Source organism: Homo sapiens, chromosome 14 (assembly GCF_000001405.40).
Source record: "Homo sapiens chromosome 14, GRCh38.p14 Primary Assembly".
In the NCBI taxonomy this organism is placed as follows: Eukaryota; Metazoa; Chordata; class Mammalia; order Primates; family Hominidae; genus Homo; species Homo sapiens.
This window is the reverse complement of record NC_000014.9, coordinates 51,302,990-51,329,979: the sequence shown is the minus strand read 5'-3', so window position 1 is coordinate 51,329,979 and position 26,990 is coordinate 51,302,990. Positions and strand designations below refer to the sequence as shown.

The following is a 26,990-nucleotide window of genomic DNA, read 5'->3' as shown; positions in this document are numbered from 1 at the left end:
CCTCATTTTATTATGCCATAAAATGAGAATAATAATATCTACTTCACAGGGGTGTAAAATGTAAACAAAATCATGAATGTCTAGAGATTAGCACAGTACCTATCTCACAGTCACAACCCACAGCCTATGGCATCAGGCAATTAAGAATAGTCCTTAAAGGGCCAGGCGCGATGGCTCACACCTGTAATCCCAGCACTTTGGGAGGCCAAGCCAGGCGGATCACGAGGTCAGGAGTTCAAGACCAGCCTCACCAACATGGTAAAACCCCATCTCTACTAAAAATACAAAAATTAGCCAGGCGTGATGGTGGGCGCCTGTAATCCCAGCTACTCAGGAGGCTGAGACAGGAGAATGGCTTGAACCTGGGAGGCGGAGGTTGCAGTGATCCGAGATCATGCCATTGCACTACAGCCTGGGCCACAGAGCAAGACTCCGTCTCAAAAAAAAAAAAAAAAAAAAGAATAGTCCTTAAGCCCTTAAGATAGATGTCCATGTCAAGTGTTAGAATATGCACAGAACTGAAGCCATCATTGATCTGAATATGTAAAGCAGTTGATCAGGAATTGGTCCTAGATTTGGGGAAAACTTGTCACGAGGACAGGAATTTGGGCAAGACATAGCTTCTTAATCTGAAAAGTGCCTAGCTAGTTCTCAAGACTATAATGGAGTCAGATGAGAGAAAAAGGATTTGATCCACTTGGGGCAGAATAGGGAAGGTTTTGTTAACTGTAAAGTTTTAAAAGGCAGAGTAAAGGAGAATAAAAAAGACTTATGGTTGCACATCTGCAGACTTTCACAATCATAAGACCAAAAACTAGTAATTTCCCATCCCAGCCCCGGAGAAATGACTCACTGGGCTGTCCTTCATAGGCCCAAATCCCAAAGTTTCTTATAAAAAGGTGAAATTTTGGACTCCATGGGCAATGGCCACCCTGCCCAATATCCCTGCCTGCTGTTCAACTCATGTCCTGCCCGCCCACCTCCAGCACCTGCAAGTCCTACTCCACCCAGAGGATGTCCTGGCTGCTCATATTTCAACGAAATCGTAAGGCTCTTCGAGTATTCCTCCTTGATTTATGACTTGGAAATGTCAGCAGGAATGGAAAATCCAGGACATGGCCAGGAAGAACACAGTCCAGGGACGTTTTAGAGCTGATACAGCCCATCTGCTTGGTCCTTCACTGTAGTTCTCTATTTCTACCTTCTACTACCTTATTTTTCTTTCTGCATCAAAACATTCCTTTTTTTTTTTCCACTCCATTTTTCTAAGTAGGCCAGTCACAAGTAAGCATCTTTTTGAAGGCTAATGCAATCCCATCACTGTGTTCTCTACACTTAACTCAGTATGAGGATGCCAAAGTAAGTCCCAATGAAACAGCACAGTGAATTGACCCCTCCCTACCACCAAGTGGACAGCAAGATTGGACTGGAAGTGTGTCCCATCCCAACCTATTATCCTGGTTAAATTTGTTTCTTCCTATGAATCTTCTCCTTCAAAACACTCTCAGCATTCTAGAGGGAGGAGATCACAAATAAACAAAAGGTAAAGAACTGTTCTGACTTCCCACATCACAGCCAGTGATGACTCAGCAACCAAGTTCTGCTCCCTTCTAGAAACAACATAGACAAAGAAAGCAAAAGGAAAGAAATGCTGACAGAGACCCACAAAGGCCGCTGTGATTTGGTAAAGCACCAAGCCTGCCAGCACGTCCTATGGAAAGTGAGGGCAGACACAACCACAGTTGGCAGGGAGAACAGCCAAGCCGCAGCACAGCTAATGACAGTCACCACTCTGGAGAAATGCTTCAAAGGGCAGCTGCAGAGGTGGCAGCCAGCTCACTGAGGAAAACGTAAGTCACAGGAGAGGAGAGGGGAGGTGGGGACGCTCTCAGGGAGTGGCTGTGTTCTGTTTTATTTGCTGCACATGCTAAACCAAGACTTCAACCAGAAAGCAAAGGTTCCAGGAATCATGGGCAAGCATTTGAAGAAATAAGGCTCAAAGTCCTCAAGTGATGTTAAAATATTTGCCTTGATAGACCCCCTCATGGCTTTAGAATATGATAATTTTAGACACAATCACCAGAGATGTTGTAAACTGCTGAGCACCTAATATGTATCTTTTTTTAAAGTAGGATAATAGTTCTGCAAGGCTAACATTCTCACTTTTTACAATAGAAAGTAGGAGCTGAGAGACCCCATGCTGCAGCTCAGAGCCACTAACTTTTCCTCCAGATAGCAAGGATCTAGGAAATAATTGAGCCACAAATAATTACTGGTATGCTTGGCCCTGGGAACTATTCCATGGCCAAGAGCTCAAGCTGGAAAATCCCCTTTCCTGACCTTACTTCCTGCACTTCTTACCCCACAGCCCTCTCATCCCTGCTGATCTGTCCTCACCTTCACTGAGTCTCCATTTTCTAGATTCTTCTCTTGTCTCCTCATTCATCAGAGTCTTTCTGGCTTCTTTTGCCCCTTACCCAGCCTGGAATCCATTAGAAATGATTTAAATAGGGCTTTTGCAGGAATCTTAGAATTGCTCACTCCCAAACTGCCTCCTATGGCTGGATTGTCAATCATCGAATCTGGCAAACCCATACTTATCTTCCCTCTATCCATAGCTGCCAAGTAGTGTGGGAAAAATCACCAAAGCACATAGATTGTATCCCACAAGTCTATTTTCTCTAAATCCTGGCTGGGCCCTCCCTCCTTCTTGACAATCCTTTCTGTTAACTTTTCCTGTTGCCCTTCAGCACTTCTAACAGCATTAGTCTCCTCAGACACATAACTATCTGACTGCCTTACCTGCAAAGACAACTCATCTCTTGTCATTCTAAGAAGAATAAATCATTTCTTGGGGCTTCTCTCAAGTTTTTCCTCAAAATTTTCTGTGTTTTTCGTCACAGTTTTACCTTCCCTCCTATTGAAAAGAAAGACATATTCCTGTTCCTTTTTATAAAGCTGTACTATACCTGGGCTCCTCATCCTTTAGCTTCTCACTTTCTCTAGGTCCTTGCTCCATTCATTTCGTCCTTGCTCACTTGGGATTTGTCTCTCAGTGGCTGCTAGTTCTATCCTCTTTGTTGTAACCAATAGCAAGAAATATTGAACTTTCCGGAAACCATGTGTAAGCTATTTCTTGGAGGGACACTTAAACCAACTGAGAACACAGAAATCCCACAAGGAAAAACACAACCTGCTGATAATGAACTCTATTTAAAAATAAAGTATTACAATACACACACACAAACACACACACACACACACACACACACACACACACACAAGAATAAAGGACCAAGAGGGAATGGAATGCCAGAAGATGTAATTAATACATGAGAGAATTATCATTCCAAGTACTGGGAGAGAAGAGAACTGAAACAGACTAAAAAAATATGTATATTTAAAATTATTAAAACTTTGTTAAAAAATAATAAAAGTATGAAAAAGGACAGATTTTTAAAAAACAGAATTTATAGGAATGAAAAATATAGTGCTTAAAATTAGAAGTTCAAGGCCAGGCACGGTGGCTCACACCTGTAATTTCAGCACTTTGGGAGGCCAAGAGGGTCTATCACTTGAGGCTATGAGTTCAAGAACAGCCTGGCCAACATGGCAAAACCCCATCTCTATTAAAAATACAAAAATTAGCTGGGCATAGTGGTGCATGCCTGCAATCCCAGCTACTTGGGAGGCTGAGGCATAAGAATCACTTGAACCAGGAAGCTGAAGTTCCAGTGAGCCGAGATCATGTCACTGCACTCCAGCCTGGGTGACACAGTGAGACCTTGTCTCAAAAATAATAATAACAAAAAAATAAAATTAGAAGCTCAAAGTATGTGGCAGATTAAACAGAGTTGAAGAGAATATTACAAAAATGGGAACTAGATCTAAAGAAATTATGCAGAATACAGCTGAGAATAATAAAAAGATAGGAAATATGAAAGTAGTTAAGAGATATAAAGGCTAGGGTATGAAAGTCCAAAATAAATCTCCAAAAAGAGAAAAAAGAGAGAATGAGGGTGAGGTAATATTGAAAAGACAATGGCTAAGATTTTTCCAGAACTGAATTGTAATTCCTCAAAATGAAAAAGTACCCAAATGCTGAAGAGGCTAAATGAAAATGAATCTGCTACTAGACACACTGTGGTAAAATTGCAGAATAGCAAAAACAGCAGAAAATCTCCAAAGCAAACAAAGAGAAGATACAAATTGCCAACAAAAAAATGACAGCTGGATCCCCAGTAGACTTCCCATCAGCAACAGAATATCCCACAAGAAAATCACATTGTATTTTCATGCTATTGTTTGAAAACAACTGTCAACCTAGAATACAACACCTAACTCAACAAAACTCCCAGAGAGGAGAGTAAAGATGTTTATGGAAAAAGGAAAGGAGAATTTGCCATTCATCACTGAAATACCTACTAAAAATACACTTCATTAAGGAAATTTAGTCCAGAACAAAGAAGTAAAAAGCAAGATGCAATGATGAACACAAATATCAGTACATATGATGATAAATGGAAACTGTAAACAAAGCATAATAATAATTCAGACAACTAATGAGGAAGTTAGAACTAGATAGAAGACAATAGTAGTCACTAATAACATGGAAATGGAAGAGGAGCTGAGTTTAAAAAGTAAGCTCAGATGAATGGATAAAGAAAATGTGAAATAATCCACAAAATTACATATATATATAAATTACATATATAATGATATATCTAAATTATTCCACATAAATTTCATATATAGGTATATATAGCATCATTATATACATGTATGTATACATAATATCTCATTTTAGATATATATACACACACACACTCACATATGAATATAAAAAAAGCAGGAAATTTTGCCATTTGTAACAATATGGATGAACCCTAAGGACATTATTCTAAGTGAAATAAGCCAGACACAGAAAGAAAAATACTCACTCATGACCTCACATATGACCTCACTTATATGTGGAATCTTTAAAAAGTTGAACTCATAGAAGCACACAGTAGATGATGATTTTCAGGGGCTGGATGGGCAGGGAATGGGAAGATGGTAAAATAAAGGGTACGAACTTTCGATTATAGGATGGATAAGTTCTGGGAATCTAATGCATAGCACGGTGATTATAGTTAATAATACTGTATGGTATACTTAAAATTTGCTAAGAGAAAAGAACTTTAGTGTTCTCAGCACACAAAAAAGTAACTCTGTGAGGTGACAAATTGTGTTAATTCACTTGAATCTGGTGATGGTTTCACAATGGGTATGTATGTCGAATCATTGCATTGGACACCTTAAACATATACAATTTTTGTTTGTCAGGTGTAACTCAATAAAGCTGAACAGACAAGTGGAAGTCCTCACAGTGCTTGGGAAACATTAACTTTAAACTTAGTCAAGTATTAGTCACAAGAATTTAAAGATTATCACTATAATTTAAATTTAGAATTTAAAGATTATCACAATAGAAATAAAAAGTATAACTCCCAAACTAGAAAAAGAAGAAGAGGAAAAACAAAACTCAAATAGACCAAAAGGGCAAAAAGAAAGGAGAATGACGCAAAAACAGAAAATTAGATGGAAGAAATAGATCCAAATATACTAGTAATATATGTAAAAAAATTAAAACCACTGGTTATAGTCTCAGACTGGAATTTTTGAAATTTGAACTGTATGATATTTACAAGGTACAGATGAAAAAAGATACGCCAGGCAAATAGTAAGTGCAAGAAAGCTAGGAGAGCCTTATTATAATCAGACAAAATGGAATTTAAGACAGAGTTGTTAGTATTAAACACACTAAATGAGAAGGGAAATTTTTTTCAGGAAGAGAGACTGACCTTGACTGTTGTGCTAAACAATATGGTCTCAAAATATATAAAGCAAAAAGCTGCAAGATTATAAGGGGAAAAAATGAAAAAATCACAGAGGTAGATTTTAACACATCTTTGTCAGAAAGCGAGTCACCTAGACCAAAAATTGGTAAGACATAGAAGATTCAAATAATTATAATAATCAATATTGACCTATGTGACATTTAGAATTCTGAGATGAGGCAGAAAAACATAACTTTCAAATAATGGAACACCCATGCCAAATGAAAGGTGTTTTTTCCGCCTGACATCAACAGATTCTGACACCAAATGTGTAGGGGATTTTCCACACCCACAACCAATTCTACAATTCCTTGGCACCAACCGGGTATTCTACAATTCAGTTCAATTCTGACACTAACTAACCACAGTTAGTATCAGACACCAAAGGTTTAAGGACTCAGTACCACGAATCAGTCACAAGTATGAGGTTCCCAGATTACTGATGCCTCATCTGACTTAGCTACAAGGTTGTGGAATCCCATAATCCCCTCCTTCAGGTTGTGAACAGCTCACAGAATTCAGGAAAGCACCTTACTTGCACTTACTGGTTTATTATAAAGGGTACAAATGAGCCAAATGAACAGGTATGTAGAGTGAAGTCCAGATGTGTCCCAAGCTCAGGAGCCTCTGTCCTGTGGAGTTGGGATGTGGCACCCTCCCAGTATATGGATGCATTCACCAACCCAGAAGCTCTCCAAACCCCATTGTTTAGGATTTTTTTAAGGAAGTTAAATCACAAAGGAGTGATCAATTATTAACTCAATCTCCAGCCCCTTCTTCCTACCTGGAGGTTGAGGGGTGCGGCTGAAAGTTTTAGGCTTCTAATCAAGTTTTCTGGTTGGTGACCAGTCCCCATCCTGAAGTGATCTAAGGGCCCAACCAAGAGTCACTTCATTAGAACAAAATATGCTCCTATCAGCCTGGCGTGGTGGCTCACGCCTGTAATCCCAGCACTTTGGGAGGCCGAGGCAGGCAGATCACCTGAGGTCGGGAGTTCAAGACCAGCCTGACCAACATGGAGAAATCCCGTCCCTACTAAAAATACAAAATTAGCCAGGTGTGGTGGCACATGCCTGTAATCCCAGCTACTCAGGAGGCTGAGGCAGGAGAATTGCTTGAACCTGGAAGGTGGAGGTTGCAGTGAGCCAAGATCACGTCATTGCACTCCAACCTGGGCAACAACAGTGAAACTCCATCTCAAAAAAAAAAAAAAAAAAAAAAAATATATATATATATATATATATATATATATGCTCCTATCACCCCATCACTCAGAGAATTATAAGAGATTCAGGAGCTCTGTCAAAAACCAAGGACAAAGATCAAACATATTTCCATGATGCCACACAAAGAAAACATATTTCCAAATAACTTGTGAGCTAACAACTCATGATAGAAATTATTAGCATGACATGTCAAAACTTGTATGATACACCTAAAGTAGTATTAAAAGTAAAAAGTACATATATGTATATATGTATCACAATGAACTAGAAATAAGGTGAACTAAGCATTCAATTCAAGAAGTTAGAAAGAGAAAGATGGAACTTGAAGAAAGTAGATGGATGCATATAATAAACGTAAGGGCACTTTGGAAGGCCGAGGCAGGTAGCTCGCTTGAGCTCGGGAGTTCGAGACCAGCCTGGGCAACATGGTGAAACCCTATCTCTATCAAAAATATAAAAAATTAGTTGAGCATGGTGGCATGCACCTATGGTCCCAGCTACTCAGGAGGCTAAGATGGGAGGACCAAGCACTCGAGCCCAGAAGGTGGAGGTTGATTGCAGTAAGCCGAGATGGTACCACTACTCTCCAGTCTGGGTGACAAAGTGAGACCCTGTCTCAAAATAATAATAATAATAATAATAATAATAAACACAAGGGAAGAAACGATAGAAAAGAACAATAAAACCAAGTTCTTTTTCTGAAATGGAAAATTAAATAGATGATTTTCTGGTAAGATGGGTCAAGGAAAGGAGATTGTACAAGTTAGACAATGGTAGCAGTAGAAAAGAGAAGAGCATTTTAGATGAACTAGGGATTCAAAACTAATCTTAAGTGAACACTATGAACCCACATTTTGAGAAATAAATTTATAATTTTTTGATAAATTTGCCAATATTGACTCAAAAAGAAATAAAAACAAGTCTATAATTTTAAAGACTATCCCCAAATTTTATCCACATAAATTCCTAAAGCCAGATGATTTCTACTAATGAGTATTACCAAAGCTTCAATAAACATAAAATCTTAATTTTATATAAGCTATATTGAAAAGTAAAATAGAAATCTCTCAATCTTCCTTTAGGTACCATTATAACCTTGGCACCAAAACTAAACAAGGGGAGTCTGAGAAATAATAGTAATAGGAAGAAGAAAATGGAGTTGACATACATTAAATGTTCAACAAGGCACTGAGAACTGTTTTAGAGTTTTACTTGGATTATTCTTTTCTTTTCTTTTTTTTTTTTTTGAGACTAAGTCTCACTTTATCACTCAGGCTGGAGTGCAGTGGCACAATCTCCGCTCACTGAAACCTCTGCCTCCTGGCTTCAAGTGATTCTCCTGCCTCAGCCTCCTGAGTAACTGGGATTACAGGTGTGCACCATCACGCCTGGCTAATTTTTGTATTTTTAGTAGAGACAGGGTTTCACCATGTTGCCCAGGCTGGTCTTGAACTTCTGACCTCAAGTGATCCACCTGCCTTGGCCTCCCAAAGTGCTGGGATTACAGGTATGAGCCACCGTGCCCAGCCTTATTTGGATTATATCATTTAATTTCTTCAAAAAAAAAAAAAAACTATGTGGTTGGTGTTATTATTAACTGCATTTGGAGATAAGGAAACTGAGTCATAAAGAATGTCTGTAATTTACTCAAGTTAGTAGTCAGAAGTGATAGAACAAGAATTCAAACTTTGAACAGTCTCACTTCAGAGCATGCGCTATTAACCACTATGCTATAACACCAATATTTGCATCTGTGACCAAAGAATGAATATCAAGCGAAAACAGATGCCAAAAACACTAAATAAAATGTTAGCACATCTAATCAAGCATATTTTTAAAAAGCATTTAATCAAATTTGAAACCTATCCATGATTTTAAGATATGAAAAACTTAGAAAATTAGAATACAAGGGAACTTTCTTAATTTGATAACAGGCATCTATTGAAAGCAGACATATTATAGTGAGATTTCAATTTCCCATTAAATTCAGGAAAAGAAATGGATACTTCTATCATCATTTCTATTCAACATTGTACTGGAGATTATATCAAATAAAATAAGCCAATAAAGAAAACTAAATGCATAAAGACTAGAAAGAAAAAACAAACCTCTGATTTTTCAGACCAAATTATTATATACACAGAAAATCCAAGAAAATGTACCATATTATTAGAATAGAAAAACATGGGCTGGGCACAGTGGCTCACACCTGTAATCCCAGCACTTTGGGAGGCCGAGGCGAGCTGATCACCTGAGGTCAGGAGTTCGAGACTAGCCTGGCCAACATGGTGAAACCTAGTATCTACTAAAAATACAAAATTAGCCTGGCGTAGCAGTGCATGCTTGTAGTCCCAGCTACTTGGGAGGCTGAGGCAGGAGAGTTGCTCGAACCCAGGAGGCAGAGGTTGCAGTGAGCCAAGATTGCACCATTGCACTCCAGCCTGGGTGACAAGGGTGAAACTCTGTCTCAAAAAGAAAAAAAAAAAAATAGAAAAACATGCTTCAGAAAGGTTCCTAGATAAAAAAATCAATACACAAACATTTGTTGAACTCTTATTCCATTCACACTAGCAACAAAACATATTTATTCAGTAAAAATTTACTGGATATCTACTATATAGCAGGCACTGAGTTATGCACTAAAATAATATGTCCAGGACATTCATGGGAAAAATTATTAAACATTATGGAAAGATATGAAATAAGACCAAATTAATGGAGAGAGATATCATGTATGGGAAGACTCAAGACTCTATAAAGGACAACTCCAACTCTCCAAATTAATCTATAAATTCAGTAAATGCAATCCAACCCAAAATAATTTTGATTAAAATTTGATAGTATGATTCTAAAATTAACATGAAAAAGCAAAGGAACAAGGATATCTGAAATAATTTTAAAGAAGAACAAGGTGCAGCCTTTTGCCCTATAATATATCAACATTTGCTGTAAAGTTATACCAATTAAGAGAGTGAGTTCTTGGCACTAAGGTTCACCTTGAGGTGGGAGTGGGGTGCCACACCTGGGACACAGTTTTATGGGTCCTGCATTGCCCAAGGGTACTGGCAACACATCTGTGTCAACTAGGTTTTGCCAAATCATAATACTGAATTCTCTGCTACCTTTCATGGAAGAGCCCCTATATAAAACAGAAAATATGTACAGTTATGTGTCTGGACAATTTAAATAGCTTCTTGGCAATGGTCTGTAAAACTGAATATTAAATAGAAGAGTCTTTCCAAATCCTATGCAGAAAAGGCAGCCTTATCAGGAAACAAAATAGAAGTTGAGATTTGCCCAGGCATGGTAGGAAGAGACACTTCAGAAATGAAGCCAGTCATGGTGACCTTAAATGACCTTTGTTAACAGGAGGTGGTACGCTTCAGATAACTCGATGAGCCATTTGCCACAAGACAATTCAGGGCTAGAAGGCAGTGGCATTAATTAAACTCCTTGGAAGGCAGAATCAGCCTTTTCATTTTCTCTACCTCCACCCCCTTCTCTCCAAATATTTGGAAGTGATCCCATTGGAATAATCCTTTCCCTGGGGCTGAGAAGGAACAGTCAGCAAGCCAGATTAGGGTAAGAACTCAGTTTATTTCGGGCATGAATATTAAATGGGATTTATGACAGATGGAGTACTTGTTAATTCTTTCTATTAGTAGAGCTATTCATAACAGTAAAGAAAGGGCCATCCCAGAACAGAAAGGGATGTCTTTAATCCTTTCTCTTGGAAAAGGCCAATTCTCAATATTTCTCATTCCCTCTCTCTCCCCTGACACATGTACAGTTTCTCTATCACGTACAGACTCACACTCACACACACACACACTCTACACTCCTTATCAAAGGAAACCAGACTGCCCTCAGCTTGTGGACCCACGGCTCTCACTGATTCCAGCAGGAATTATGGGCATGGCATTGTGAGCCAGAATGTGACCTATCTCCTATGAATGAGTCCTACACCATAGGAAGGGAATTTGAAGTTAACAGAAAGAGTCCTGTGCTTCAGCCATCTGCTCAGGGATTCCAGTTTTTTTATACGACAAGAAGAGCACCAGAGCCCTCACAGGGCTAGCTCTTTATTAGCAGGGACCCTCCTTCTAGTCCAGGGCCCATCTTTTGTGCTGCCACATAAGAAACAATGCCCTCTTTCCCTGATGTCTTTTAATGTATGGTTGTTCTTTTATTAGGCTTTTGAGGTCTGAGAACCCAGCAGCCTCCCCCAAACCACCCCAAAAAGACAGTTCAGTATACAGAAACAGATCAGCTCCATCACAGAGCTTAGGACCAAATAACGTCGGATGCTGAACCACATAGCAGGCAGCCTCCTTGCTGCTTAACAGTTCTCACCTCAGATATGCGAGAGCTAATATAATCATACAAGAGCCAGCCAGGGAGAACAATGTCGGGGGAATGCATGAAAAACATTCACCGAGGTTGTACTGACACAATCCATCCTATATCCTGACTTGAGCTGCTTCTCTATTAAGCAAGGCTGATATCACTCCATCAAGTCCAACATACCGGCTTTGGTTTGCTCAGGTATAGGGGTTTCAGGGGTAGTTGAGCAATGTTGGCATTGGATCAGTCATTCACTTCTCATTCATGCATTCAACATTTTACTGAATACTATAAACCAAGTACATTGGTAGGCTCCAGCACAATCCAGGAGAGAAAAGAAACAAACAATAGCAACACTGTGTAATAGTAACACAGTATACTGGATTTGCATTTGTGGTGATAGGATAAGATGCAGAGAAAACTTCCCAGGAGACTTGACTGCTAGGCTGAGTCTTAAAGAACAAGTGTTGAGGGTATATTGGTGATGCCTCCCCTGCTTCCTTGATGGGCTTCCTTTCATCAAAAACACTCCAAAAACATCCCTGGTATCACTATGAAGGTGAGAATTCAACCGATGTTTGAAGCAATTCACTTCACCAAAATGAAACAATTCTAATAAAAGGTGCTCCATATCTCTGAAATTAATAAACCATCTCAAACATGTTTAATTGCCCAAAACATTTTTTAGTCACAAAGGCAGGAATCCAGCTATTAGAGAAAACAAATCATATTTCGGTATTTTATTTTCTATAAATAGTTTTTGTTCTGTTTTGTTTTGTATAAAACAGGGATCACGTGTTATACACATAATTTTGTAACCTGTTTTTTTTTTTTCACTTAACATTCTATTTTAAGCAATTCCCACATTCTTAAATACTCTCTGAGAAGGGTATTTTTAATGGCTGAAAAACATTCTACCATATGGATGGGCCACAATTATTTCAGATATTTCCTCACTGTTGGAAATGTAGGTCATGGCCATTCCTTTGCTCTACATGCTGCAATGAACATCTGAGTACACAGGTCTGTTTGTGCATATACAATTACTTCCTAGCAATAAATTTCTAAAAGCACAATAACTGGAACAAACACCACATATATTTTCTGGATTCTTGCTATATATTACTGAATTTCCCCAGAAATACAAACACAGTTCGTACTACCCAGTGGGTACTTAATAAATATTTATCAATCAATCAATGAATAAATGATTTTTAAGATTCTTTGTGATACTCTTGTGAAAAGTTGCCATATTTGAACTATAAGAAACTAAGTAAACTTTGAGGGAGTAATAAACACTTGGATTGGAGGAACCAGTAAACTAATAAATGTTTAAATATCTCAGAAGAATACAGACCAAAAATTACATCTACAGTAGAGTTATATATTCATTGGATGGAAAATTGTATACCCAAAATAATGCTGCAGAAGAGTAATTATTGTCATAGCAAAATGTGCACCTTGTGACACTAAACAAAATAAACATCCATATAAGTATATAAGTGTAAGCTATATTTACTGCTTTGGACTATAGTATGATCTTATTTTTGTGGAATACGTATGTGTGTAATACATACTGTATTATATACACTAGAAGACAAACACAAATATTAACAGTGATTCTGTTGGGTTATAGGTGATGTTTTCATTGTGATGTGTGTGTGTGTGTGTGTGTGTGTGTGTGTGTGTGTGTGTGTGCATCCCAAATCTTGTATATCAAGCATGGCACTACTTTTTTTAATTCAAAAAACCTGTTGTTAAATGTTGAATTACCATAGAACTAAAGGGAATACTTTCCAGAGCTAGAAATCTAACATAAAGATAGTAAACAAAATGATAAACAAGCAGTTCTTCCCCTGAGGGTTTATAATTCTGCTGGGGCTGCCATAACAAAATACCATAGACTGGGTGGCTTAAGCAACAGAAATTCATTTTCTCATAGTGCTGGAGGCTAGAAGTCTGAGATCAGGTGCCAACATGGTTGGGTGTTTGTGGGAGCTCCCTTCCTGGCTTCTTACAGACAGCCACCTTCTCATTGTGTCCTCACATGGCCTTTTCTCAGTGTGTGTGCAGAGAAAGAGAGGGAGAGAGTGTTCTGGTGTCTCTTCTTGTAAGAGTACTAATCCCATCATGAAGACCCTATCCTCATGACCTCATCTACCCCTAATTACCTCCATAAGGCCTCATCTCCAAGTACCATCACATTGAGGGTTAGGGATTCAACATATGAATTGTGGGGACACAAACATTCAGTCTATAACAGAGGGGATCAATATTAAGAAGGGCTCAAATTCACATATTTTAAAATAAAATATTTATGCAAGTCGCCTTGATAGATGATATAGTACAGAGAATACAACCATGAACAGGATGCAGTCCTGGCCATCAAATAAACACATTCTTATGAGAGGAGACAGAAAATTGTTACAAATCAGTGCAATAGAATTCTAACAAAAGTATATGCTGGGATATAGCTTCAGTGGAGAGAGGGAACACAGAAGAAGAGATCTTAGTCTGGAAACAATCATGAAATGTTTCTAAAATAAGTGAAACTTAAGCTGAATTTTGGGAAAAAAAAAGAGGAATTATTGAAGCTTGCAGAAGGCTGTGCCAGGCAGAGGCTACAGCCTGTACCAAGGCAATGAGGTGCTGAGGTGCTATAATAGAAAACAACTCAACACACATAAAAGGATGAGGCAGAGGACAAGGTTGGAGGAAGGACTCCCATCTCTAACCTGGTTCCTGAATTACTGGGGGATCTCATCAGAGATTCAATAAGCTGAACTGGACGAAATTGGTATGCCACGTTAGGAGGTTTGAACTTTATCTCCAGGACCACACAACTCACTAAAATTTAAACAGGGAAGAACAAAAAATGACTCATGATTCAGGAATACCCCTCTGGTAACAAAGTGGAAAGGAATAAATTCACTATCAATTTCAAGAATAAAGGCAGAAAGCTAGTGCAGAGGTTCTCCTAATAATTCAGATGAAAAGTGATGAGATCCTAAGTGATAAGGCCCAGATATTTATTTAGAAAATCAATAAGATGTGTATTGCCAAAGAGACAAATTGGTTATAGAAAATGTCTATAGTGAAGCTATAAACTGCATATGGTTGACTAAGAGGGTGAACGATGTGAAAGGCCTGAATTAAGAAAAAACTGCAAAGCCATTAGAAACAAGGCTACTTAATCAACATGGCAACCAACCAGTAGGATTATTCAAAGCATGTATATTGAGTTATGCTTGTAGAAATTGACTACAGTTGTAATAATTAATGTTCTAAGACACACTGTTGCATATCAAACAATCTGAATCAGGAATTTTCAGGTCATGCTCAAGGCTACTGCATGAAGACAGGAGGTGGCATAAAGAGGGCCAACAGTAAGAATCCTGCCTCTCCCTCACTTAGGCTAGAGTCTCTGCCACTTTAGGAGAGAAAACATGCTTGAAAGCCACTGATCTAAATAAATGTGTATGTGTGTATATGCCAATGGGGATGTATAACCAAACTTTTCATATGACCTAAACCTAACTAAATATATACCACCTTGGCATATTAATCAGCAATGTATATTTTTGTCCCATGTGGAAACTTAATAAGCACACCACAACTAACGGGTTTTAGGTTCTTCCACTAAATAATAAGTTCCTTAAAGACAGAGATTCCCTCCCTCCCACTGTTTATTATAGACTTTACAAATGAGGTGTCCGATAAACATTTGCTTGCTAAAAAGAAAAGGCAGGATAATTTTTAAAAATAAACAACGAAGAAATTCTTTTGTGGACCCAAAAGCAATTTGTCTGAAGGGGAAACACATCTCAGGTTAAATTTGTAATCTGCACACATACAGAAAGAATGCTAATTATTATCCTTAATGATTTAGCTATAAGGAATGAAGTCAGTATACCATAACCCCAGTTTACAACACAACCATCTTAGGACATGGTAAAGAATAGCACATCATAGTGGTGGCTTTATGTTAAGGAATATACCAGCTCATTACGTTCCAAACAATTATAGTGAAAGACTGGTCTCTTCCCAAAGCTGTATTTTCTCTTTATGTACACACACACACACACACACACAGCCAAAGAGGCATGTTAAGCAAACCTTATTGTCTCTGCAATGACTACTTAAGCAAGAAGGCAACCAATCAGTAGGATTATTCAAAGCATGTATATTGAATTATCTTTGTGTAAGTTATATCTATATATCTATGCATATCATATATGATGTTAAATACAAATGAGATGAGATGCCTATCTTTTGCAGTCTGTAAGAATTTTTTTTAAAGGAAGCATCCCAGTTGTGTTGACTGCCTCAGATTCATTTCCCTATTTTAAGTTTTAGAGCCTAAGAGAAAACAGCATTTGCAGTGATTTTTGTGGGTTCAATGAAAAGGTCACATGAAGCATGCACTTGTTTTAAGAGCTTGAAAATTCTATAGGAAAGACAGAAAAAACTCATACAATAAATAAAAAGGTGAGCTGAGGCCGGGCGCAGTGGCTCATGCCTGTAATCCCAGCACTTTGGGAGGCCGAGACGGGCAGATCACCTGAGATCAGGAGTTCAAGACCAGCCTGGCCAACATGGTGAAACCCCGTCTCTATTAAAAATACAAAATTAGCCAGGCATGGTGGCAGATGCCTGTAATCCCAGATACCCAGGAGGCTGAGGCAGGAGAATCACTTGAACCCAGGAGGCAGAGGTTGCCATGAGCTGAGATCATGCCACTGCACTCCAGCCTGGGCAACAAAGCAAGACTCTGCTTCAAAAAAAAAAAAAAAGAAAGAAAGAAAAAAAAAAAGGTGGGCTGCTGTTAGCTGTTTATTTCGGGCACCTGATTGATGTCGTGAGGGAAAATGTTATACACCAAACAGTAACTTGGTGATTATTTCTCCTAGCATAATTAAATTTATAACTAAATTCTGTACATTATTATTTAGATCAATGGAACAGAACAGAGCCCTCAGAAATAATGCCACATATCTACAACTATCTGATCTTTGACAAACCTGAGAAAAACAAGAAATGGGGAAAGGATTCCCTATTTAATAAATGGTGCTGGGAAAACTGGCTAGCCATATGTAGAAAGCTGAAACTGGATCCCTTTCTTACACCTTATACAAAAATTAATTCAAGATGGATTAAAGACTTAAACGTTAGACCTAAAACCATAAAAACCCTAGAAGAAAACCTAGGTATTACCATTCAGGACATAGACATGGGCAAGGACTTCATGTCTAAAACACCAAAAGCAATGGCAACAAAAGGCAAAATTGACAAATGGGATCTAATTAAACTAAAGAGCTTCTGCACAGCAAAAGAAACTACCATCAGAGTGAACAGGCAACCTACAAAATGGGAGAAAATTTTCGCAACCTACTCATCTGACAAAGGGCTAATATCCAGAATCTACAATGAACTCAAACAAATTTACAAGAAAAAAACCAACAACCCCATCAAAAAGTGGGCAAAGGATATGAACAGACACTTCTCAAAAGAAGACATTTATGCAGCCAAAAAACACATGAAAAAATGCTCACCATCACTGGCCATCAGAGAAATGCAAATCAAAACCACAATGAGATATCATCTCACACCAGTTAGAATGGCAATCATTAAAAAGTCAGGAAACAACAGGTGCTGGAGAGGATGTGGAGAAATAGGAACACTTTTACACTGTTGGTGGGACTGTAAACTAGTTCAACCACTGTGCAAGTCAGTGTGGCGATTCCTCAGGGATCTAGAACTAGAAATACCATTTGATCCAGCCATCCCATTACTGGGTATACACCCAAAGGATTATAAATCATGCTGCTATAAAGACACATGCACATGTATGTTTATTGCGGCACTATTCACAGTAGCAAAGACTTGGAACCAACCCAATGTCCAACAATGATAGACTGGATTAAGAAAATGTGGCACATATACACCATGGAATACTATGCAGCCATAAAAAATGATGAGTTCATGTCCTTTGAAGGGACATGGATGAAATTGGAAATCATCATTCTCAGTAAACTATCGCAAGGACAAAAAACCAAACACCGCATGTTCTCACTCATAGGTGGGAGTTGAACAATGAGAACACATGGACACAGGAAGGGAAACATCACACTCTGGGGACTGTTGTGGGGTGGGGGTGGGGGGAGGGATAGCATTAGGAGATATACCTAATGCCAAATGACGAGTTAATGGGTGCAGCACACCAGCATGGCACATGTATACATATGTAACTAACCTGCACATTGTGCACACGTACCCTAAAACTTAAAGTATAATAATAAAAAAAAGAATAAAGTTTAGAAAAATTTATGAAAAAAATAAAAATAAAAAAATAAAGTCTTTCAAAAGCAAGTAAAGGAAAAACTTGGCTTGGCTGCCTGTAGATAATTTTGTTTTGATACCAGTTTGAATAAAACAAGAACTCTCTGATGGATTTATAACATGATAGTGCAATTCAAGCATGGGATAAACTGAAGGTGACAGGAAGGGTGGCACATAGGCCATGTGCAATAAGCGTCACATTGACAGGGCAGCCTACAGGAGAACTTAGCAAACGTGGAAAGTGACTGGGCAGAAAGGTGGTGATACCTCAGTTCAGCAATGCCCTGAGTATATGTGAAGAAGAATCTCTTGATAAGCAGTATAAATCCAATTAGTAACATTCAGATTTTCATATTTTCATAAATTTCAAACACTATTTTTTGAAAAGTGCAGTCACAGTAAATCTGAGACCGCAATGTATTCAGCGTAGGATAGCACAGCAAGAGCAGCAGTGTGCACAGTGCCAGTCCAGCATGACAGGTCCATGAAAATGTCTATCCCGGGAGCAACACCACTGGCCCACTCTACAGCTTCTCCTGCATCACTGACATTGCTAAGTTACTTTATACACTTCATTCTCATCACAGTGAGTTTTCTGACTCAACATTCATAAGTCTCTCCATGTTCTTGTTCCTGCACAAGCAAATTATTTCTCAAAACCTCTTTCCCAACTTCTCTCTTGAGGGTAGGTTTCTGTTCTACAATCAAGTATCATCTTCCTCCTAATCATGGGAAATGCTGAGGAGATATTCACCTTTCCTCAGTGTGGATAGTGTGAGAAAAAGATCAAATCCAGGAAAAATGAGTACCAAGAAGGAAGGGGGGGAATCCACCTTTATCCATGTAGATAACTTCAGATGCAATCCCAGAAAGGGGCAGTCATGTTCCCATGGGTGTTTAAACATGGCTGGAATATAGCTAAATAAAAGCAAGCTAATTATCATTGATGAGCACACATGCTATTTACCTTTGGTGAGCCTTTTTCTGAACTTGAACAACGGATTTCCAATATTTACCATTGCAATGATTCATAAAAAGTTAAGATATTCTGGATCAAAATTGCAGTGTCCACTAAAAATACTCAGTTCTGACTTCCTTTTCAAATCAATGTGAAAGGCCATACAAGGTAAGTATACAATTCCACACTCAGTTTGAGATTCCAGAGTGTTACTTGTGAAAATAGATAGATGAGATTGTGAGGGGGGGTTGCAGATTCTAGTAATAAATGCATCTCTTCTTCGTATAAGATCTTCTCGGGGATGTGTCACTATCCTACACTGCATTGCTTCTGTTTCCAATTAGTTTCCAAAGCTACCATAGCCACAGTACACAGAGTGATACAGACAGGAAGCTAAGACAATTGTATACCTCTCTTGCATGGTTGATAATTTAAGCAGTAGAATGTCCAAGACTGTACCCATTTGGGGCTTTATTCATCATGAACAACAAGGTTTTTTTCCTGGCCTTATAGTAAATCTTTCATCAACAACTACAGTGAACAACACAGATCCAAGAATAGAGTTATTCTGTGTGACAGCAGAGAGAAGAGTCAGATGCATGATCCAAGGAAAATTCCCAGAAGGCATGAAGCCAAACCAAAGTAGGAGGGAGCATGTGGTGGAGTGGGCTTGAGTGAGCAGCTGTTTCCCACTATTTTCCTCTCAGTCAAAACTCTTTTTATTGCCACTGCCCTTAAGCCACATCAATAGCCTTGCCATGATTCTCTTACCTCGATGTATTTCTGTTCTTGAAATGAGATGGAAAGGCAGAAACCTGAAGAGTCTCTTTCTCTTCTCCATAAATCACCAACTAGATTAAAAAATAGAGCCCATTCACCAGTTACTCTTCTCATCTCGTAGGACTCTATTAACATGGTTTTGTCAAGTGTGCTATAAGGGAAATGGCTTAGGGAAGTTGGCAGACCTCAATAAACCATCGCATGGTTGTATTGAAGTTGAACAGTTAGAATGGCCAGGTGGCATATTACCAAAAAGAATGCCAAGGGAAAACTAAAAAACCTCTTTGTGAAGGTCTTATTCCTAAATACACAAACATTGAACCCCAAAAAATGAACAAATCTTCAAGATTGCAGATTGATTTAATAAATTTATTCCAGAATCCCATATATAATAAATGATTAAAAGAAAGGAACAAAGTTTCTACTAGGATGTCTTGAACACAAATAGCTCTTTCATTGTGTATAAGCCTAGTGAAATTTCATTCCGATGGAACAGCCTGTTCTGCCGTTCACCTTCATAAAGCTTCATCTAAGGATAACGGCCATTCAAACAATCAAATTACCCACTGTGGTTTCTTAAGAAAGGTGCAGTTCTGTATTTCTAAAATGTTCATTTATGTAATTAATGACTTTGGACTTGCAGGGAAATATTCTCCTGATTATTTGATACAATTGTAGGGCATGAATCTACTGGCAATGATCAAATCTTAAACACAAATGTGGAATAATTGCTCAAAATACATGTAAAAGTCTTTCATGATTAAATTAGCATGGGACTGAGAACCAAAAGTACTGTATAAGAATCACTGCATTTACCTGAAATTTTTCTGAGAAAATCAACATATCTATCTTAGAAATCATAGAATCTCTGAGGGGGCTGAGACCTTAGATAACATTAAAAGCAAACTTCTTTGGTAGGGTGACCAATTCTTCCAGGTTTGCCTGGGATTTTTCTGATTTTAGCACTGAAGATTCTAAGTCTTAGAAAAATCTCTGAGTCTTGGGTAAACGAAGTTGGTCACTCTACTCTTTGGATTCATGAATCTTCTCTGTGACATAACATAGAAGAAACTTAACTGAGACTTCACAGAGTTCGGTTAGAACACAGAATAACACAGACATGGACTTCACAGAGTTCTATTCTCCGTTGTGTCAAAATCAGTGCTATGATCTATCCTTGCTCTGCCTTCCACAGCAAGACAAAGTTTATTCCCTCTTCTACCTGGTAGCTCTATGAGTATGTGAAGGCTGCCCTTCCCATCCCACATTTCCCCAATCCAGTCTCTATTCTCTAGGATAAGCTGGCCTAGCCCCTTCATCTGCTCCTTGAGTGTTCTCATTCCATTGGTAACCTCACTACTCTCCTCTGGGCAGGCTCATCTGTCAAGGTCCCTCAAGCACTGACAGGCCAAACTTAGCTCAAGGCTCTGCACAATGCCTGAGCAGACTTCATGAGCCCCTCCTTCATGGGCCTGGGTGTCATGTTCCCATGCAGACAGACATTCCTTTAATTCATTTGTCCACCATATCCCACCATCAGATAAGAATACAATTCATGTCAACATAAAATCATGAAGATTTTTTACATATGCTATTATTCAAAGCTCTGCCATCTTGTAGTTTTGTAATTGAATTGGTCTTTAGACCCAAACATCACACATTTATCCTTTACAGTGAACCCATTATTCCAGCCCATGATCCCAGCTTTGGATCATAATTCTATCACCCAAATTATTCATTCCAGTAATTTGGTTCCAGGTTCATATAGTATGCAAATGTTTTCTGCATGTCAACATCTGCAATCATGCAAATCATTGGCAGAAATGTTGACTAGGTCAAGCGGAATACCAGATGATTAGTCAGTACACACCTATTGGCTACATAAAGGCAGGTATTCATGTGGGTCCTTTATTTTGAAATATTCTTTAGGGCTTTCCCTTCCAGATTTTAGAAATTGAAACAAGAAAGAGTACAAACACACAGTAGCCACACTTTCTTCTTTTCAACCAGTAACTGCCTTCTCTTTACCTTGAGCCCACATATATTCCTTCAGGCATTTCCAAACTTCAATGAAACAAGTTATGATAGAAATCCCATCATGAGCTGGAACTGAGCAGCACTGAGTGTGAATCATGAGTGCAGAGCTGCCAGTATTCTTGACTCTCTTCTTTCCTGGCACACAATAGGGCTGCATTTGCCCACCACTTTTGAGGTTGGGCATGGCCGTGTGACTTGTGTTAGCCAATGACATGCATGTGGAATGATATGTATTACACACTGGCAGGAGCTATAAAATCCAGCTATGGGGTTTGTCATGTTTCCTCCTCAGTGTTGTTTTGATCAGGGAAAGAAGTGTCAAGACAAAGCCTTCATTAGCCTGGGTCCCTGGGAGAACACAACTCTTAGTAGGGTGAATATGAGGGTGATGGATGTGTCAGAGTTCCCCTGCGGACCCATATTGGACATGCAGGTTGAGTAGGAAACAAAGCCCCTGAGATGTCGGTTGTTTTTTTTTTTCACTGTTCTATGACTTTGCCTATTACACAGGGTAACTACAATGCAGAAGTAGAAAAATACATGAACTCCTGTTTACAAGAAGCTTACAGTATAGTTGGGATAAATCATACCCACAAAATACAAGTAAGGACTCAATTAGCATGAAGTAGGATGCTAAACTGAAAAGTAGAGATAATTAGCCAGTAAGATGTGGTGCTAAATGTGAGTCACTGAGATGATGCATTAAAAGGGAATTAGTAAAATAGGAGCTCAATGTGGGCTTACAATTCTCAGAACACATTTCATTTCCGCTAAGCAAAAGTGCAAATTATATAATTTATTGAAAAGTATTATAGGAAATGGTTCTACAAATATGTTGACTCTTCTCTTTAAAAACTGTAATAAAAGTGTGGGCTTAAGTTATGGGGCCATTTTCCATGTATTTGATTTCAGTCTTTTCTAATAAGGTACTTAGTGTTTTTTTAATGGACATATTATAGATCTTTGTCTATAATGGACAGATTTAGCACTTTATCAAGACAGAGGGGTCACCCTTTCCAGGAGTTTTATAGAAACCTTGGCAATTATTGCAACGCAGACAAAATGGGGCTGATCATAGCACCCACTTAAATATGATTGACTTTATTTCACAGAAAGGTCCGTTATTACAACGACACAGATAAATATTCGTCTGAATACCCAATATCAATTTGGCTGACCTAGCAAAGATATGGCCTTGTTTCTTTTTCAAATATATTCAGCCTCTCCTTTCTGTCCTTCTATAGGGATGAAGGAAGTTTGGTATTAATTGGAATAGTCATTCACTCATTTAGCAAGCACCTACTCTCTGCCAAGGACTGTGCTATTATGAATAGATATTGGTTATTCATTAATGAGCACAATAGTCTAGGGTCTGTCCTCAGGGAGCTTACAATGCAGAGGGGGAAGAGACAGACAGCAGAGAGGGGAGGGAGAAGGACTTTCTAGTAGAAGAAACACCATGTCTTCCCTACTCTGAATCAGAAAGTTTCGAGTATTCAAGAAAATCAAAGTCCAGCATGTATCAATCAAGCAGGGTAGATGAAAAGGAAAGTTGCTTGAGATGAGACTGAAGTTGGGTAATGGGCAGGCCACATGGGACTTGGACCCTCTCTTAATTTTTTTTTTTTTTCATTTTATCTCAAATGCCCTCAGAGCTTTAAACAGGGGGTACAATGTGACACAATTTCCATTTTAAGAAAGTCACTCTGGCTGTATGAAGAATGAACTGGTAGGGTTAGTGTAGAGATGGTGGAGTAAGAAGAACTGTTGTAGAAGCCCAAGCAAGAGGTAGCAGTGACCTAGACTGGAGTGGTAGGGATAGTAATGGCATGAAGTAAATAGACTGAAATATATTCGGAAGTAAAATCTTAGAGGGGTGAATATGGATGCGAGAGCTCCTGGTTTCTGGCATGAGCAAGTCTCCATTTTGCACAATAGGAAGAGAGGACGAAGAGCTAGAATGAGGAAGCAGAGTAACGGTTCCCTGTTGTTGAATGCAGCTGTTATTGAATGCAATTGGATACATTGGTCTGAAGCTCAGCAGAGCAGAGTGGGCAAGAGATGCAAATGTGGGGGTCATCCGCTTAATGCTGGTATTAGGCTGTGAGTACAGGACAAGGAGGACATGTGGGCTTGGAAATGTGAGCAAGAACAATGAAAGTTCTTGGGAGCCAAGAAGAAGTTGGATCAGAGGCCTAATAAGTTTAAGAGAATAATTCTTGACATCCCTTGATCTAATCGCAGATCTATATGAGAATATGGAAATGTTTGTACCTGCTCCCATTATGCCCCTAAATCACAGATCAAAACAGTAGCATCTCTGTGCCTATCTCTACATCACAAGTTAACTTCATTTTCAACTTTTACTACAAGTTTCCTCTCCCACTCAACTATTTTTCAAAAGAGAATGACATTTTTATCACGGCACAAGTTTTACTATCTAAGCAATCTTGGGTAGAGGAATGCTTCCCAAATACCAAACTGTGACAAAATGTTGTTCACCAATCCATGACAAAATAACAAAACTAGAACCACAGAACATATATAATGTCAAGATAAGGTGGCCAATAATCACTTCCTGGGATAGATGCTCCATTATTCTGAAATCATGTCAGTTCTACCCTTTTAGTATTAAAATATCCTTTCTTTTAAGAAATAATGGTGATAGATTTTTTTTTTTTTTTTGAGATAGAGTCTTGCTCTGTCGCCCAGGCTAGAGTTCAGTGGTGCAGTCTCAGCTCACTGAAACCTCTGCCTCGTGGGTTCAAGTGATTCTCCTGCCACAGCCTCCCAAGCAGCTGGCATTACAGGCATGCACCACCACACCTGGCTAATTTTGGTATGTTTAGTAGAGACGGGGTTTCACCAAGTTGGCCAGGCTGGTCTCAAACTCCTGACCTCAGATGATCCACCAGCCTCGGCCTCCCAAAGTGCTGGGATTACAGGCGTGAGCCATCACACCCAGCCAAGACTTTTTTTTCTGATGTCCTTACTTAGCAAAATAAAAGATTAATAATTCTATGTAAAACTCTACTTTTTAATTGTACAAGTCTGTGAAATCCCAAATCAGGGAAGAATAAGAAAAGAGAAGAAGAGAAGAACAAAGCGTCATTGAGGAGCCAAGTGCCAGCTCTCAGCTAGGTTTACTCTCTAGCTGAACCACTCCCTCCCAGACACAGCCTCAGGAGTCCCTAGGATTCACTTTTGTGCTTCAGCAGACACTACTAAATGCCATGTACATTTGAAGTTGTTTCCAGACAGTCAAAACCACAAATGTCAGGGTGCACTTTATTAGTAAAACTGACTCACTGTGCACTAGGCAAAGAAATTCCTGCATTCCACTCTAAGAACTGTAAACGGGGCCCCAGCTAGCTGTTCTCTCTTGTGCTACTTACCATGCTTAGATCTTGATTTGAACAAATCGACTATAAAAAGACTGTGCTGGCAATTGAATACATGCGACTATGGTCTGGGTATTACTTACTATTAAGGAATTACTGTTAATTTTTTTAGGTGTATTAATGACATTATGTTACGAAAATATAATTTTCTTTTTTCTTTTTTTTTTGGAGACAGGGTCTTGATCAGGCTGGAGTGCAGTGACATAATCACAGCTCACTGCATCCTCAGACTCCTGGGCTCAAGCAATCCTCCCATCTCAGTCTTCCAAGTAATTAGGACTAGAAGTGTGTATTAGTCTGTTCTCAAGCTGCTGATGAAGACATACCCTAGACTGGGCAATTTGCAAAAGAAAGAGGTTTAATGGACTCACAGTTCCACGTGACTGCGGATGCCTCACCATGGCAGCAGACGAGAGGAGAATGAGAGCCAAGTGAAAGGGGTTTCCCCTTATAAAACCACCAGATCTCAGGAGTCTTATTCACTACCACGACAACAGTATGGGGGAAACTGCCACCCCCATGATTCAATTATCTCCCACCGGGTCCCTCCCACAATATGAGGGAATTATGGGAGCTACAATTTATGAGATTTATGAGATTTGGGTGGGGACACAGCCAAACCATATCAGTGTGCCACCACACTCAGCTAATTTATTATTTTTAGAAACATGGTCTCACTATGTTGCCCAGGCTGGTCTGCACTCCAGGGTTCCAGTGATCCTCCCATCTTGGCCTCCCAAAGCACTAGGATTACAGGCATGAGCCATCACACCCAGCCAAGAAAACATTATCTTCTAGATATGCACACTGAAGTATTTGATATAAAATGTATGATATTTGGGATTGCTTCATAATATTTTAGCAAAAATAAAATAAGTGAAATACAGCAAGCTGCTGAGCATTGATAAGTCTTGATGATGATGATGGTATATTTCACTATCTTACTTTTATGTCTGTTTGGAATTTTTCACAGTGAGAAGGAAGGAAGGAAGGGAGGGAGGGAGGGATGGAGGGAGGGAGGGAGGGGAGGGGAGGGAGGGGAGGGGAGGGGAGGACGGACTCTGTCCAACACCCTTATCATTTCATAATGACTTTAAATGGAAGGAAGATAGATTAATAGGAGGGAGCAATTCCCACTAGTATTTGTGAATACCTATTTTGGGTGCTCTCCATGACAGGAATGCACATGAAGGCACATAGTACAGTCTGATAGGGGTTACAACCAATGCTGTGGAGATGAGGAAAAGGAAACTCAGGTTAGCCTACATTACCTTTTTTGTTTGTTTGTTTTGAGACAGAGTCTCACTCTGTCACCCAGGCTGGAGTGTAGTGGCGCGATCTTGGCTCACTGCAACCTCCACCTCCGGGGTTCAAGCCATTCTCCTGTCTCAGCCTCCTGTGTATCTGGGACTACAGGCACATGCCACCACGCCCAGCTAATTTTTGTATTTTTAGTAGAGATGAGGTTTCACCATATTGGTCAGGCTAGTCTTGCACTCCTGACCTCAGGTGATCCACCTGCCATGGTCTCCCAAAGTGCTGGGATTACCGGTGTGAGCAACTGTGCCCAGCCTAACCTACATTTCCACATGGAAAATAGAAAGAGAACAAACTGGCTAAATGGAGCTACTTGGCTGCTAAAGAAATTCATTTCAGAGGAATTAAAAACAAAAACAATTATGTTGATTCTTAAGGGGCTATCTCAAAATCCAGGGACAACACAGACCCTGCAGACACATGGGCTCTGCCAGGATTGGGGCAGCCACTTCCTCCAGGCCCTTTTGTTAATTGGACCTGGCAATAGCTGTCACTCCCAGCCATCCTGACTCCGGTCCTTTCCATTTCCCTGCCACTCAGATAAAGGAACAAGAATTCTGACGCGGGGCATATGAAAAGGAAAGACAGCTCTTCCATAGTCACACCCAGAAGAGGGCAGATGAACCTGAGAAATAAAAATAAAATCCTAAGCTCTGCAGCTGACTGAACAGGCCCCCTCTTGGCCAAGGGGACCACAGAGAAACCTTGA

The 26,990-nt window shown here is 39.3% G+C and overlaps 1 long non-coding RNA gene across 1 annotated transcript; it reads left to right on the top strand.

Moving 5' to 3' along the window:
* Positions 1 to 1,594: 1,594 nt before the first annotated feature.
* On the top strand, positions 1,595 to 25,669 carry LINC00519 (long intergenic non-protein coding RNA 519). Its single transcript, NR_145423.1, has 2 exons — positions 1,595 to 1,850; positions 25,140 to 25,669. It is a non-coding gene; the product is annotated as a long intergenic non-protein coding RNA 519 (long non-coding RNA).
* The last annotated feature ends 1,321 nt before the right edge of the window (positions 25,670 to 26,990 follow it).